Source organism: Homo sapiens, chromosome 5 (assembly GCF_000001405.40).
Source record: "Homo sapiens chromosome 5, GRCh38.p14 Primary Assembly".
Taxonomy (NCBI): domain Eukaryota; kingdom Metazoa; phylum Chordata; class Mammalia; order Primates; family Hominidae; genus Homo; species Homo sapiens.
Window position 1 is genome coordinate 14,575,624 of NC_000005.10, and position 16,420 is coordinate 14,592,043.

General features: G+C 46.9%; 1 protein-coding gene across 4 annotated transcripts in view, besides 3 other annotated features; it reads left to right on the plus strand.

Moving 5' to 3' along the window:
- Positions 1,901-2,401: an enhancer, noted in NCBI's record as "H3K4me1 hESC enhancer chr5:14577633-14578133 (GRCh37/hg19 assembly coordinates)". NCBI's record gives its function as "activates a minimal SCP1, AML or CMV promoter by ChIP-STARR-seq in primed H9 embryonic stem cells {active_cell/tissue: H9 hESC(primed)}" and the evidence as "EXISTENCE:reporter gene assay evidence [ECO:0000049][PMID:30033119]".
- Positions 6,032-6,391: a silencer, noted in NCBI's record as "silent region_15941". NCBI's record gives its function as "represses an Ori minimal core promoter by ATAC-STARR-seq in GM12878 lymphoblastoid cells {active_cell/tissue: GM12878}" and the evidence as "EXISTENCE:reporter gene assay evidence [ECO:0000049][PMID:35858748]".
- OTULINL (OTU deubiquitinase with linear linkage specificity like) overlaps positions 6,169-16,420 on the plus strand; it is a 34,389-nt gene continuing 24,137 nt past the window's right edge. For 2 of the 4 annotated variants that reach the window (XR_925623.3, NM_019018.3), the window contains exon 1: positions 6,169-6,335. Coding sequence is in view for 1 of the 4 variants with exons in the window: in NM_019018.3 (NP_061891.1) it covers positions 6,272-6,335 (64 nt within the window). In the remaining 3 variants the exon portion in view is untranslated. Of the gene's footprint in view, positions 6,336-15,128; positions 15,171-15,928; positions 16,002-16,420 lie in introns of all 4 variants that reach the window. The other 2 variants (XM_047417322.1, XM_047417323.1) reach the window with 2 other exon arrangements.
- Positions 6,472-6,801: a silencer, noted in NCBI's record as "silent region_15942". NCBI's record gives its function as "represses an Ori minimal core promoter by ATAC-STARR-seq in GM12878 lymphoblastoid cells {active_cell/tissue: GM12878}" and the evidence as "EXISTENCE:reporter gene assay evidence [ECO:0000049][PMID:35858748]".

Below are 16,420 nucleotides of genomic sequence, written 5' to 3' on the forward strand. Positions count from 1 at the left end.
GAGGGTTCCAATTTGTCCACATCCTCTCTAACACTTGCCATTTTCTTTATTGTTGTTGTTTTTTGTTTTTATAGTAGCCATTCTAATGGGTGTGAAGTGGTATCTCATTGTGGTTTTAACTTGCATTTCTTTAATGATTAGAGGTGTTGAACATCTTTTTATGTGCTCCTTATCAATTTACATAATTTCTTTAGAAAAATGTCTTAATTTTTTATTATTATTTTTACTTTTAGAGACAAGGTCTTAGTCTATTGCCCAGACCAGAGTGCAGTGGCATGATCATAGCTCACTGCAGCCTCAAACTCCTGGGCTCAAGTAATCCTTCTGCCTCAGCCTTCTGAGTAGCTGGTACTACAGGTCCCTGCTACCATGCCTATTTAAGGTTTTTTAGTTTCCATAGAGACAGGGTCTTGCTATGTTGACCAGGCTGCTGGCTAGTTTTTAAATTCTTGTTTAGGGATAGGACCTGGCTGTATTGCACAAGCTGGTCTCAAACTCTTGGCTTCAAGTGATCCTCCTATCTGAGCTTTCCAAGTACCTAGGACTACAGATGCATGCCACCATGCCTGGATAATTTTAATTTTTTTTTTTGGAGATAGGGTCTGACTGTACCACCCAAGGTGACCTCGAACTCCTGGACTCAAGTGATCCTCCTGTGGCAGACTTCTGAGTAGCTGGGATTACAGGTTTGAGCCACCTTGCCCAGCTATGCAGGGTATTTGACCATCCATTGTCTTTAAAACATTACGCCATCATTGTCGATATCCATAAAAGTTAGAATTTGAGAAATCCTTATCTTTCCACTTCCTTCTTGCATTGTATCTAAGCATACACTGCTGCTTATTCACACGAAGCCCCTGAATAACTACAAAAACGTTAATACCAAAATCAGTCAGCGTCAACTTTTCTAATAGAGGACAGTATATAGACGTCAATAGGTGCCAATGACAGCACTTAACTGAGCACTTAAAAAGGGCCAGCCTCTACATGTTGTCATTGAATCAACTCTACAAGCCCCATTTTAGGTAAGTACTATTATTATTCCTAATATATAAGTAAGGACATGGAAGCAAAAAGGGTTTAAAGTATCTTGCTCCAGGTCATCCAGCTAATAAATGACATTCTACGATTTGAACCCAGCTTCCAGGGCCACTTGGAAACCAACCCCTAAAAAAAATCACCGCCCAGGAACTCTGATTTTTTGTTTTTCTTTTTCTGAGACAGGGTCTCACTGTGTCGCCCAGGCTGGAGTGCAGTGGCACAGCTTGGCTCACTGCAACCTCTGCCTCCCAGGTTCAAGCAATTCTTGTGCTTCTGCCTCCAGAATAGCTGGGATTCACCATGCTGGCCAGGCTGGTCTTAAACTCCTGACTTCAGGTGATCCGCACACCTTGGCCTCCCAAAGTGCTGGGATTATAGGCGTGAACCACTGTGCCCAGCTAGAACCCAGCGATTTTTGAAAGGCCACGTATTGAGAGGTGACAGCGTGCCAGCAGCCTTCCCTCGCTCTCGGCGCCTCCTCAGCCTTGGTGCCCACTCTGGCCGCGCTTGAGGAGGCCTTCAGCCTGCCGCTGCACTGTGGGAGTCCCTCTCTGGGCTGGCAGAGGCCGGAGCTGACTCCTTCTGCTTGCCGGAGGTGTGGAGGGAGAGGCACCAGCGGGAACTGGGGCTGCACGCTAGTTCCGGGTGGATGCGGGCTCAGCGGCCCCACACTCGGAGCGGCCGGCCAGCGCCACCAGCCCCGCCAGCCCTGGCAGTGAGGGGCTTAGCACCAGCAGCTGCGGAGGGTGCACGGGGTCCCCCAGCACTGCGGGCCGCCCACGCTGCGCTTGAATTCCCGGGGGGACCTCAGCCGCCTACCCACGGGGGCAGGGCTTGGGACCTGCAGCCCACCATGCCCCAACCCTGCCCCACACATGGGCTCCCCAGCGGCTGGAGCCTCCCACAAGGGGCGCCGTCCCCTGTCCGTGGCGCCGGGTCCCATCGACTGCTCAAGAGCTGAGGACTGCCGGCTCGCTACTTGGGACTGGCAGGCAGCTCCGCCCACGGCCAGAGCTCAGGATTCACTCACTAGGGAAGCCAACTAGGCTCCTCAGTCTGCTGGAGACTTGGAGAACTTTTATATCTGGAGGATTGTCTATGCACCAATCAGCACTCTGTGTCTAGCTCAGGGGTTGTAAATGCCCTAATCAGCACTCTGTGTCCAGCTCAAGGTTGGTAAACGCACCAATCAGTGTTCTCTGTCTAGCTAACCTAGTGGGGACTTGGAGAGCTTTTGCGTCTAGCTAAAGGATTGTAAACACACCAATCAGCACCCTGTGTGTAGCTCAAGGTTTCTAAACACACCAATCAGTGCTCTGTGTCTAGTTAATATAGTGGGGACTTGGCGAACTTTTAGGTCTAGCTAGAGAATTGTAAATACACCAATCAGCATTCTGTGTCTAGCTCAGGGGTTGTAAATGCACCAATTAGCACCCTGTCAAAACAGACCAATCAGCTCTCTGTAAAACGGACCAATCAGTGCTCTATAAAATGGACCAATCAGCTCTCTGTAAAATGGGCCAATCAGCAGGATGTGGGTGGAGTCCGATAAGGGAATAAAAGCAGGCTGCCCAAGCTGTAGTGGTAAGCTGCTTGGGTCGTGTTCAGCAGTGTGGAAGTGTTGTTCTTTTGCTTTTTGCAGTAAATCTTGTTGTTCACTCTTTAGGTCCACACTGCTTTTATGAGTTGTAACAGTTACTGGGAAGGTCTGTAGCCTCACTCCTGAGGCCAGTGAAATCAAGAACCCCCCAGAAGAAATGGATAACTCTGGACGCAGTGCCTTAAGAGCTGCAACAATCGCTACAAAGATCTGCAGCTTGACTCCTGAAACCAGGGGGACCACGAACCCACCAGAAGAAAGAAACTCTGAATGCTTCAAACATCAGAAGGAACAAATTCCAGACACACCATCTTTAAAAACTGTAACAGTCACTGCGAAGGTCCGTGGCTTCATTCTTGAAGTCAGTGAAACCAAGAACCCGCCAATTCTGGACACAGTATGATCTTTTTCTTGGATGAGCAGAGTCTGTAGAAGTGTGGACCACCCTGCTACATGCCAGTCCAGGGCATGGGTGAGATGCCACACTTACAGCATCCCATTGTGAAGGTGAACAAATGCTGCAAGTGGCGTGAGGCTAAGATAAGTTGACATTTCACAGGCAATGCTAAGAAATTAAGTGGGACAAGGCTGGAATGGTTAGGGGCAAGGTGTGAAGCCTCAACAGGGAGAAACAGGAGAACCCTGAAGAAGGGGGCTGGCACAGCAGGCACAGAAGTAGCGCAAAGAGCCCTGAAGCTTCCAGCGGGCACTGGCAGGGGCTTCTGTCTATCCCCACACTGGGACCTTCAGGCTGCCACTAAACTGTACTTTAAAAAATGGTTAAAATGGGCTGGGCATGGTGGCTTACACCTGTAACCCTAGCACTTTGGGAGGCCGAGGTGGGCAGATCACCTGAGTTCAGGAGTTCGAGACCAGCCTGGCCAACATGGTGAAACCCTGCCTCTACTAAAAATACAAAAATTAGCTGGGCATGGTGGTAGAAACCTGTAATTCCGGCTGCTCTGGAGGCTGAGACAGGAGAACCGCTTGAACCTGGGGCGGAGGTTGCAGTGAGCTGAGATAGTGCTACTGTACTCCAGCCTGGGCGACAGAGCAAGACTCTGTACCCCTCCAAAAAAAATGCATTTTGCAATGTGAACCTTAAAAGGCTCTGAATGTTCACGTTCCATTTTCAGAGTTCAAATGGTCAAGAAAACCTCATAAAAACAAAAACTCCAATTAAATACTTGCTGGGAACTACTGGCCAGTTTTTCTTCTGATTTGGGTCATACCACAACCCTCATGCAACTAGCTGGAGTAACCCTTGTCCGTAGTTTAAATCACTCTGAGCTTTCCAGAGTCGCAATCAGGTGGCTTTTGGGCACAACGCTAGGCACTGCCTGTTTCTGGTAGTTCTAAGGTGGATGTTTTGGCAAGTGTGATGATTTGCGTCCACATTTCAGCTGAGACTGTTGCTGCAGGGGTCTTTGTTCAGCATGACTTTCAGCTGGCATCACACCACACTCTCAAGTTACCCATTCATACATATTTAAGCTCTGAGCTAGGTTCTAGGGATTCTAGGTCAGAGTTCCTGCCCTCAAAGAGCTCATGAACTAGGTATTTTTAAAAAATAACTTCGTAATTGTGCAGACATGTAATCACTCATGTAATCACCAGAAAGCCAATTAGAAATCTCCATGTATATACGTCTTTATATGATGCTTATGTGCCAAGTATTGTAAGAGTTTTGCACATATTTAGTAATTTAACCCCCATAAAAATCCCATGGGGTAGATACTCTTAGGCGCTCCATTTTACAGATAAGGAAACAGGAACAAAAAGGTTAACTAACTTATGTAAGACCATGTGGCTTGTATGAAGGCACACTAGGCAGTCTGGCTCCAAGGTTTGGTCACTAAGTACCACACTAAGAGGCCTCTCATTCAGCTTTTGGAGTAACAATGAACATTACAGGCAACCAAAATCCTAAATGTGAATTAATTGACAGGATTTTAGGCCAAGAACAAACAGCTGTATTCATAAATATTGTCTTGTGGGAGGAGGGAAGGGGAACTGGCTAATTTGTTTTGTGGTTAAAGGACTAAGTAAATTTTGTTTTATTATACCGCAAGAAATTAGTCCTGGTATTTCTAGTTTGTAGAATAGACAATTTGTACTTGTCACTGCTCATACCCTTGTTTAGGTTAATTAGGCGCAACAATTTTAAGTCATTTATTTTGTATGAGTAACGTGGCTCTATACACGCAAGCGATGGTTTATGGTTGTAGAAAACTACCCATCAATGTCAAAGATCTGATTTAGATAAAAGGGATTATTTTCTAAACATGCAGTAGAGTTTGGGAACATTTTTATTATCTTCTGTGAATCATGCATTGAAGAATGGTTGGGTGGTTGAGGGTTCAGACTTAGGTTCAAACTATGCACTAGCACTTCCTGAACCTCAGTCTCCTGGTCTGTAAATTGGAGATAATAACAGTGCCTACCTCATGGGCAAGTGAGGATTAAATGAAGCAATGCATGTAAAAGACATATATCAAAGCATGTGGCTGGATGCCAGCTGTCAGTAAATGCTTGGCATTAAGTTAACTGTTGTTGCTGGGATAAAGAATCTCACTGGAGTGGCCAAAGACCTGTGTTCTGAGACTAGGCGAAGGGAGGAAAGCGATCCAATTACTTGTGGACATTGCCCTCAGGCTACTGAAGCCACACAAGATTCCAGGCTGTTTCTCACATCTTTTTTTAGTTATGGAACTTCTCTTTCAAAAGATGCCAAAACATTTCCCATGCAGTCAGTTTGTCTCTGGAACTGTGTATATTGGAGAAAAAGGAAGTGTTCAACAGGATTTTCATTTTCTTCATTTTTCTTCTGGAAAAGGCCCATCTGACCGGCAGAGTGCGGGGGAGAACAACAAGGTGAGCGCCTTTTCATTTTTGGGCTGTTTATTCTACTGTAAACTACTCCCCATATTTTTTCCTTTGGATAAATCATTCTATAAGAGGACAGTTTTGTCAATAATGCACATATTTGCGCTCCCAAAGTAAACTGTGAGTTCTCAGTAAGTGTAACCCCGTTCTGCTGACCCAGCGGGGGAAGAAAAATTAGAAAATCTCCCCAGTCAAGTGAACAGGTCCTGGGCCGACAGCTGCATCTGGACTCCAGGCTCGCCCACCCCGGCAGTAACAGAGCAGCATCGCGCAGCAACCTGCCCGCGGGGGGAAACAGCACTGGTTCCTCGCCCTCATCAGCCGGCCCTCCGCGATTGTGCTTCCCAATCAACGGGCCTTCGATGAAAAGTGCCAAGGAGGTCGCCGGATCCGCCCAAGTGGAATTCCCAAGATGTTTCCCGGGGAGCAGCCTCAGGAACGCGCCTGGACCCCAGGAGTAGCTTCCCGCCCCGCTGCCGAGCCTCGGAGGTCTCCGCAGTTCTGGGGCCCGCGACCCCGACAGCGCGCGGAGGCCCCGCCCCTCTAGGGCCCGCTCCTCCCCTGCCCGGCCTCTGATTGGCTGCCCGGCGCGTCAGTCGGTACCCATCCCCGCCCTACGCCTCCCCCGCCCTCCCCAGCCCGCCTCAGGGAAGCGAGCCCGGGCGCCGGCGGGCGGCCGTCGCGTCTGACAGACCACTGCAGACCACGGGCCGAGGCCCAGCGCCCGTCCGCAGCGCGGCCGGCATGGCGGCGACAAGGAGCCCCACGCGGGCAAGGGAGCGGGAGCGGTCTGGCGCTCCCGCCGCAGGTGAGCCTGGGGCCGGGCGGGGCGGGGCGGGGGGCGCGAGCAGGGACCGTCAAGGCGGGCGGGGTCGCAGGCAGCCAGGGACGCGCCCTCCTCGGCGGCCACCTTCGCTGCCTGTTGGGGGCTGGGAATCCTGGAGCCCGGGAGCTGGAGCGCGCCCCTGAGCCGGGCGGGAGTGGGGCGGGGCTGCACCCCCACTCGGGGTCGAGCCGCTGTCGGGGACGGGGTAGCACTTGAATAAGGGAGGCCAAGCTGCTTAGGTCGCCTGCCCGGGCAGGAAACGCAGGTTCCTGGAAGAAAGCCGGTCTTTGGGGTCGGGGTCCCCTCAGAGCCGCGCGGGGAGCCCAGGCAGCGGCGGAGGTCGCGCCCTGCGCCTGGGAGCGAGCCCGGGGCGCGTGGACCCGCGGGGCCCCGTGTCCTCTCGGGGAGCTCGACTCGCTGACGGAGGGAGTTGCGTTTCGCGCCCTGCTGGCAGAGGATGTGGCGCACACCTTCGCGGCAGTCGAGACTTGCTAACAACACAGAATACTCTGGCTGAAAAAAAATTCACCCAGACGGGGCCGGGCGCGGTGGTTCACGCCTGTAATCCCAACACTTTGGGAGGCCGAGGCTGGCGGATCACGCGGTCAGGAGTTCGAGACCAGCCTAGCCAGCATAGCGAAACCCTGGCCAGCATAGTGAAACCTTGTCTCTACTAAAAATACAAAAAATTATCCGGGCATAGTGGCGAGTAGCTGTAGTCCCAGCTACTCGGAAGGCTGAGGCCGGAGAATTGCTTGAACCCGGCGGGCGGAGGTTGCAGTGAGCCGAGATTGCACCACTGCACTCTCAGCCAGGGAGACAGAGCCTTGCTCTGTCCAAAAAAAAAAAAAAAAAAAAAAAAATCACCCGACAAGGGCAGCAGCACAGCCTGGGAGTTCAGTCAGGTGCTGGGTCTCGACGTCTCCACCCGCTGGCTCGGTAGCGGGGTCCTCTCCTAACCAGCCCCGAGAAAGATGAGCATAGCTGCTGCTTGGTTTTGAAGGAACACATTCCTGTGTCTATATTTGTCTGGAGCCCACTAGTGGATTTTGGGAGGATTCCGTTTCCCAAACACACAGTTTGGGCTGCAGGAACTGCAGTGATTATGGCAAATTGGCAGGTGCGGGGATTGTTTATGAATTGCTGTTTTTGGTCCCAGCTTGAGCTTTTAATTCACAGAGCAAACTGTTGGGTGCAGTGGAAACAGCACCTTTCTGGGAGTCAGAGGACATCATTCTGATGTGTCCTCATCCATAAAATGAGAGCCTCCAGTTAGCTGATCCAGGCAGCCCCTCCCAGTGGAGAAGAACTCTGTCCTACCTCCCACTCTCAAAAGTTTGGAGAATGAACTCATTTTTTTCAACCTTTCTGCACCTTGGGTTATTATAAAATTAGCCACATATTTCCTATGGGTGTATTCATTTGAACTTTTTATTATGTTATTTTCTTTTCTCCTCCCTGCCTTAGTTTGGCAGAGAAACAAAAATTGGAAATAGAGGCAGGAGCACAGCTGGAAAGGCTGGTTTAGGAGGCAGAAAGGTGCCTTCTCCAGGCTTAACATCATCACCCGGAATTTTTCCTTTCTTTGCACCAAATTCAATGCATGCCAGCGCTGCGAGCCCAGGGAGAGATTCTTTCCTCTGCTCCAATTGTGGGATCTGCAGTTGGTGTGCAGCAGAGGAAGAATGTGATTCAAGGATCAGATTATGGAAAACTTTTTTCTCCAAAACATAACTTCTGATGACTTACAAGCATAGTTTCCCTTCTTTGCCAGTGGTGTTTGGCAAAACAAAAATAAAACCAGTTTTAAAATCAGTTGTCAAAGCTAGTATAGGGACAACTTTTTTAGCATTCGAAATAACAGCAAGTAACACTTGACAGTAAAACCAGACAACAGAAGAAAACCCACAGAAGAGGTTTTTTTTTGTTTGATTTTTACTATTTCTTCTTTAAAGTGTTAGGGTATGTTAGGATATTGAAAATCATGGACTAAGCATCTCTGCATAATATTATCGGAAAGACTGTCTGAATCAGAATGTTAGATGCATCGAAGAAACATTGGAAGATCACTTAGTGGAGTGCCCAGAGAAGATGCTGTCATCTATTAGGAAGGCAGGGAGAAGTGGTCATAGAGTGGAATAAGCTCACAGTCGCCAGCACACCTTAGGCAAACCACTGTGTTTGCAGGGAGAATGTGTGCACCCCACACTCTTCCTTGCTCTTCCCACATCTGGCCAGACTCGGGCCATTAACTGTCTTTATTGGCTCAGCTCTGCTGTGGTTCTCTCCACCACTGTCCATCTGTTCAGTGGTAACATTCACATTTCAGCCATGATTTCAGGAACCACAGGACTCATTGGAGGTTCTTAGGGGCCGGTGTTGGGGGAATAGGAATGCCCAGTGTGGAACGGCGCACCCACTCCAGCTATACTTGGAGTTGCTCTGCTTTTTTTGTTTCTGTATACTTTTATGTTTGTTTTGTTGTTTTTTGCTGTTCTAGGTGAGGTTTTGTTTGGAGGAAAGAGTTTAATGCTAAATCAGAAATGTAAAAATAATGGTAATGGCTAATGTTTTTTGGTGCTTCTTGTGTCTTCGTTCATTTATTACACGGAAAATGCTTAGAACTGGTTGGTTGTGGTTCTGAGTAAGCACTCAAATGTTAGCTGCCACTACTATTATTAATATTACCTTCTACTATGAAGTAGCTGTTATTTTTTAACCTTATTTGAAGAAACCAAGTCACACACAAACTTGTACAAGGTTACCCACCTCCTATGTAGATGTGTCTGCTAAATGAAAGATATATTCCTCGATATCCTGGATTTTGTTAATCCAAAGCCATTCAAGTAGGCACAACTGTATGTATGAAGCAGATGTTTCTGAGCCACCATAAGCAGGCTTTGTTGTGTTCCCATGGGCAGTGGCAGGTAATCACTAGGCAGGCAGGTGAATTTACCTGGTGGAACTTCTGTGATCAAAAGGTGAGTAGGCAGATGGAACTGTTAATAACCCAGTGATTGGTCGGGTGGCAAAAGGAGCGATGAGAAGTGTGGGCGCAAACATTCCCTCCGCATGCACTGCCAAAAGTGTGCTGAGAATCGTGACCTTATTCTAGAACAAGTGCCTTCAAGGTCTTTACTCTCTAGGAGGAGAAGGAGGAGTAGAGGGGGCGCTGGTGGTAGAAAGTGTGTGCCAAGGAAAAGAGGCCTGAGAGCTGCTAGTTACAACTAGCAGCTGCTAGTTGTAACTGTCGAGAGAAATATTTCCCTTCTTTAAAAAATAGTTTGAGGGCTGTGGGGGAAAAAAAGCATTGCAGTTAAAGGCACCCACAATAGAATGCTTAAAACCAAATGGTCCATAGTTGATTTTGTTGTTGTTGTTTTGCCACCCATTTGTCCTATTGTACTTCTACTCTTACATTTCTATGAGATGAATAAATATCAAATAGAATGTAACTTTTTTGGTACCAAGTATTTTATCTCAGTAGAAAGTCTTGACTGGGTATAATTATTAACTTGAAAATGACCTTTTCTCTGGCTCGGGTCTCAAGGTAGACTTAGCTTCATCTGGGAGGCCTTGGCTGGCTCCCTGGCCTGGAGTGGTGTGCTCTCCTGTGTGCCTGTAGCACCCAGTGCTTGTCCCTGTCACAAAAACAGTTGGCATTTGGATTTTCTTTAGGGTGCTAGATGCGGAGACACTGACCATAGATAATGTTATATAATCTTTACAATCACCACTCTGTGACGCTCACAACGGCTGCAGAATTTGCTCAAGGCTTCCGCTAGTAAGTGGTGGCCAGGGTAAGCCCTGGCATGGGACTCCACTCATAACAGATTCTTAACAATCTGTCTGCTTCTGTCACGTGAAACAGAGTTCTAGCTTCTACCTGAGAGCTCGCCATAGTTTCCAAGGTTACCTTATTACATTTAAGCTGTTCTGAATTAAGATTGGGTTAACATTTGTATACTGTTGTTATTGTTTGAGACAACTCTTGCAGGTCTGGGTACAGGAGGAGAGAGATTATGAAAAAGTTTTTATTACTGGGCTAAAACCTCCTAGCTTAGTGGTTCCCCATACATGGCTATTAAAGTCTCTACTTAATTTTTAGAGGAATTATTGGATTAATATGTTTGGTTAGTAAATCCTTCCATTCTCTTCTGTCCATGTGTGTCCTCTGGTACATGTTCAGCTACTTGGTAAGACAATCTGTTTTCAAAATGAGGTTGCATACACATTTATCTGATTTGTAATTAATTTAATGGAAGAACATTTAAATGGTGCTTCTAAATAAATCAACAGAAAGTTTTTGTATATGTTCTCATTTTTCTAGTAACTTTTTATGCTAGTAATAGTCCATTTTTCTACTTTCCCATTTAGTTGGAGCCAGAATAGACAGGTGGCCTCATGTTTAAATTAAGAGGATGATAAAATGCTTATGTTCATTTCTAGGAGACAAAAGCCTGTTGCCTGTTAGTACTGTTGCTGGGATTCCTAGGTAATAAACAAAAATCCCAGAAACTGTAGCACATAAAATGCTATGCTTGATGAATCTCTAAATTAAGAATTTAATAGTAAATCTTTTGTTGTTGATTTAACCATGTTACTATGACATCAAGTCTGTAGAATTATTGGATAGACACAAAGTTACCTAAAATACCTCAGCTCTTTCTCCTCTTGCCATATTATTGGTTATTAATGAATATTAGGGTGAGTCTTCTAACAGTGGGAGTGATAAATACCTCAGCTCTTTCTCCTCTTGCCATATTATTGGTTGTTAATGAATATTAGGGTTAGTCTTCTAGGAGAGGGAGTGATAATGTAGTTGGAAGTCATTCTCAAGAGAGTCTTCCCTCAAATCGGAAGTGAAAATCTCATTAAACATCAAGCGTTCACTGTTTCAAAAAAAAAAAAAGAAGCATACCTCCCTGTCCTGTACCCACGACAGTGGAGATGAGCTCTCATCTCTTTCTAGGCTTGGGACAGCCTCGGTGGGTACAAACCAGTTCCAAATGGCTCAGGAATGGAGGTGGGCAGTGGAGCTGATGATGGTGGAAGCTCATCGGAGCGTGTACTTTGAACAGTCTGTGTCTGTCCTCTAAGCCAGGGCATAGACTGTTCTCTGTAGCATTTAGTCTCCAAGTTTAAGAGAAGTGAACTAAATTCCTTCTTGCCTGGTAATGAGAGAATCGGTCCCTAGGTCTTAGAATAACACCTGATACTTTGGGGTTGTATTTTTTGACCTGTGACGAGAAGGCCTCAACTTGCTTGTGAACTCTCTAGAGTTAAGAAAGACTGGGTGCTGTGTGTCTTCCGAATGCACCACGTGGACAGGTCGAAATGCTGCGGAGCAAGCAGAATGGCTGATAGGAAGGGGAAGTGGAAGAGATGGCAAGCCAGTGCCAGCATGGGCTGAATGTAACCAGTCACTGTCTAGATAGGAAGGGCTGGTGGCACTCATGTCAGTGGATGAGATCAGCAATTTGTCATTTTACTTGGCATTTACAAAATGAACTTGGAGTTTGGTTTGTAGCTAAAGTTAGGTTGGCTGCTCAGCTTGAAATGGAAACATAGCCAATGAAATGATTAATATACATGTTGGGTCCCACAGTTTTGTACCTGAAGCAGTGCAAGGCTTGGGCATATTGATTCCTTCCTAGGAGATCTAAAGAAAAATCCCTTGAATCAAGAGAGAGCTTATTAGATCAGTTTTATCCATGGTATATCCCTCTATTTTTGTTTTTTAAGTATTAAATATTTGTTAGACTCAATTTTGGTTTGTTGACTGTCATGATAGAGGACTTGCAGAGTCTGTGCTTGGTGACCTACCTTGTACTGTCTTGTTCTTCACACTTTGCTGCATCTTCTCCCATATGTAATTGATTCATTTGTTTGAATTTTGAATTTTGGAGCCTATTACATCTCCCTTTCCCTCCCAGTCTCCTTGATATTCCCTTTTCCTCCCCATTTAGCAGCCTTTTTGAAGCTGATTACCACCATGGAGGCCCTTGTGGAAAAGGCTCTTTATTAGAACTAGCCTTTGGGTCGACAGGTTTAATAGATCTGTAGGACCCAGCATGAACTTCCAAGGGTCGGGGTATTTGCTGGCATTTGTCAAGATCTTATGTATCTTCCATACACACTTAGGGCATCTTTTCTGTGGTGCAAGCTTTGAGTAATGTTTTGAGTTTAGTTGAATGTCAGTTATTTCACAACTATTTCCAATCCTGGCCCCAACGTGACTATTCCTCCAACATAACTCTGAAACATATTAAAATAAGGAGGCCTTTGGAGAATGAAGGGAAATGGCAGTTAATGGCCTGGCTTCCTTATGTTTGCTCACAGGGGAGGAAGCTGAGGTCCAGATGGCTCAGCTGTCTAGGACCGGACCCTGAGTTCCTGACTCCCTCAGTTCCCTCCTCATTTCACTACCTTGAAACCATCCTACTAGATGACCACTTCACATTCTCACTTCCTGCTTTATATTTACATGGTGTAATTAAGGGAAGAGAAAACACACTGGTGGTTCATTATTTCTGACATACATATTAAAAGTCAGAAGGGACCACCAGGATAGAGGCTCTTAGTTAGCATAAGTGTGGTGGAGTAACAGAACAGCCCCAAATAGGTGAATACATTTATTTCTCTCACATCAAAGAGAGGTAGCTCCCCAGGGCTGGGATGATCTCCATGGTGTCAGGGCCCCAGGCTCCTTCCACTTTGTTTCTCCACTATGCCTGGCTTCAATGCTCACTGTCTCTTTTGGGTACAAGATGGCTGCTGGAGCATCAGCCATCACATTTACATTCCAGCTAATAGGGAGGAAAAAGGGCAAGGAACACACCCCTCTTAACAAGCCCTTCTGAAAGTTGCACATTCAACAACTTCTTGGCCAGAATTCACTCACACAGCAGTACCCAGCACCCAGGGACGATGGAATGAGCCTTTATCTGAGTAGCCATGTGCCCAGCCCAAAGTCAGGGCTTAATCTCGATGGGAGGAGAGAACGGACCCTGGGGGAAGCTGGCAGTCTCTCTCATGGAGACACATGGACGGGATCCTGATTACATGATACATTTCGTTCATTCAAGAAATATGTATTAACTGTCTATTGTGTACTTAGGCACTCAGAAAGCAGAGTGAAAACAGTCAGTCCCAGTCCTTAAGGCATTTACTGTCTACGCAGGGAGACAGACGCTAATCAAACACAAACACAATTGTGTAAACTGTGACAAGTGCTGTGAAAAGGACACCGTGTGCTATGAGAGAGGAAAACAGGGATTTGCTCAAGCCTGGAGGTTGGAAACAGAGAAGTGATGTTTGAGCTGAGAGCTGGAGAATGAGTGGAATGAACTAGGGCATGGTTAGAAGGAAGAATGTTTCAGACAGAGGGAAGAGTACAGGCAAAGCAAGGTAGGGAGGCAGGCGTGAGCTCTAGGAGGAAGTGAAGGCACTCCTCCTATTGGAGCAAGGGGAGGAGGTGAGAGAAGAGGGAGGGGTCAGGGTCAGACCATGAGGGGGACTGGGCGTGGGTGACCAACTGTCCCAGCTTGCCTGGACTGAGAGATGTGCCAGTATGTGGGGCTTTCAGTGCTAAAACTGGGAGAGTCCCAGGCAAACCAGGAGGAGTTGGCCACCTTCCCTGGAGGCCAGGGTAATGGTCAGGTTCCTTTCTTTATTAATTTCAGAGAAGTTGGCCAAGCACGGTGGCTCATGCCTGTCATCCCAGCACTTTGGGAGGCCGAGGTGGGTGGATCACTTGAAGTCAGGGGTTCGAGACCAGCCTGGCCAACATGGTAAAACCCCTATTTCTACTGAAAATACAAAAATTAGCCAGGTGTGGTGGCAGGTGCCTGCAATCCCAACTATTGGGGGGCTGAGGCAGGAGACTCACTTGAACTTTGGAGGCAGAGGTTGCGGATCATGCCACTGCACTCCAGCCTGGGCGACAGAGTGAGAATCAATCTGAAAAAAAAAAATTTTTTTTCAGAAAAGTTCCTTTTTAGATAGGCATAGCTTCCAGCCATAGAAAAACAACAGCTGTGACTAGTAAAAGTAACCGCTTACTTTGGCCAAAGGGAAATGGGCACAAAACAGACACACAAAACAGACACAACACTTACTTTTAGTTGGATTACTTGACCAGTAAGATTTTTCTTTATCTGGACTGATTTCTCCTAATGGTAACTTTGGAAATTGATTGGCATCTGATGATGTATTTGAGATAACAGAAGCAGCTAAGGGTAGGGGATGCTATTACTCTACAGCAGGATTTCTCAACACTGGCAATGTTGGAATTACTGGGGAGCTTAAAAAAGATACCTGGGCCCCAGCCTAATAAATCTGAAAATCCACTGGAGCCAGGGCCAGGGTCCTGGGGGTCTTGATGGAATGCAGATTATGTTTCCAAGGGGTTTGAGAATCTATAGTTCTAAGAAGTCCCAGATGGTATTGATGTTGCTGTCCTGTGGACTTTGAGTAGCAATGTTCTATAAAGTTTGATGAGGTTATTTTTGAAGCCACTGGTCTCCCTTTAGGAGAGCAGATCTATAGGCCCATGTAAAGGTATATGAGTCCATGATAGGAGACAGGGGTTAAAGACTTAGGGCGGGGAGGTGGCCAAGGAGGCTTCTGCAGTGTGGTCCCATCAGCAAGATCACACTGAACCCAGGGGGACAAATCTTGACTTCTCAGTTGGTCCCAGGGGATGGGTGAGAGGTTATGGGTTGAGTTGTGGCTTTATAAGCCACTGACTGTCACTACTATTCTTGGTTACAGAAGAACCAGCTCCTGAGGTCTCTGGCTAGGATGCTACTATAGGTAATGACCATTTTTTACCTTTCTGACAATTTGTTAGGGTCCTTTCCAGCTGACATCAGGGGCTAGCAGGATGTGGGTCTTTCCTACAAATGAGAAAAGCCATGGAAAGAGTTTTACATTGTAAAGAGTTTTGCATTGTAAAGAGTTTTGCACAGGAGATGATACATCCATCGAATGTTTAAAAAACAAACCCACACTGGCTGTGGAGTAGAAAACAGAACTGGGGAAGGGAGACCAATCAAAAGGATTAGTAACTATTAGTGATGGTGCCCAAATGATTCTGAGTAATGGAAAAGTCACCCCCAGGGCAAAAGGCCTGAGAGTTGAACCAGACCACGTGCCACCAAAGCCCTGGCAGGTCAAAGCAGTGAGCCAAATCAGTAATGAAATCTAGCAGAGATAAATGTCAGGTCCTGCCTGGGTCTAAAGATCCCAGAACTGGCCCACATGATCTGGATAATCCTTTGTTTCCCTTCCCATGTTCTGGACTGAAAGGTAGATACAGATGTCAGAGATTAAAAATATATTTTTCTAAGTCAGCTCAGTGACATAAAATCCACGTGTCTTAGTTGTGTGGCCAGTTGGGCTTGCTAGCAGTGCCCAAGCTGAACTCCATCCTAAAGTTCTAGGCCTCCCTCCCAAGGAGAGGGCAGGCCCAAGGATTCCTTCTGTGCGGGCAGGTCTGTGGGGTGAAAGGGGCTGAGCTGGGCATGCCATTTTAAAAAAATCTGCCACTCAGATCAATCTCTCACCTTCAGGAAGGAGTAAAGGCGGTAGTAGGGGAGCCAGAACCCCACCTCCAGGAAGGCCTCTCCACCGGGAAACTTGAGAGTGAGTGAAACCCCTGGCCCTCTCTTCCCTTCAGAAGATGGGGAAACACACCCCAGCACAGGTCCAAAGGGCTTTAAGCTGACAGCAGGTTGAATGTGAGTCAGTAGCTTTTGGGTTGTTTGTAGCTGTGCAGTACAATCACAGGCTGCATTGCTGTGAATGTATCATCTAAAACAGGGTCAGCAAGCCACAGCCCATGGGTCATATCTGGCCTGCTGTTTGTTTTTACATGGCCTATGACCTCAGAGTGGTTTTTCCATTTTTAAATGGTTGGGAAAAAAATAAAAAGAATACCACTTCCTGACATGTGAAAATTAGATGGAATATAAATTTCAATGTCCATACATAAAGCTTTATTGGATTGGAGCCCTGTGTGTATTGTCTGTGGCTGCTTTCCCTGTGTAAGGGCAGAGCTGAGT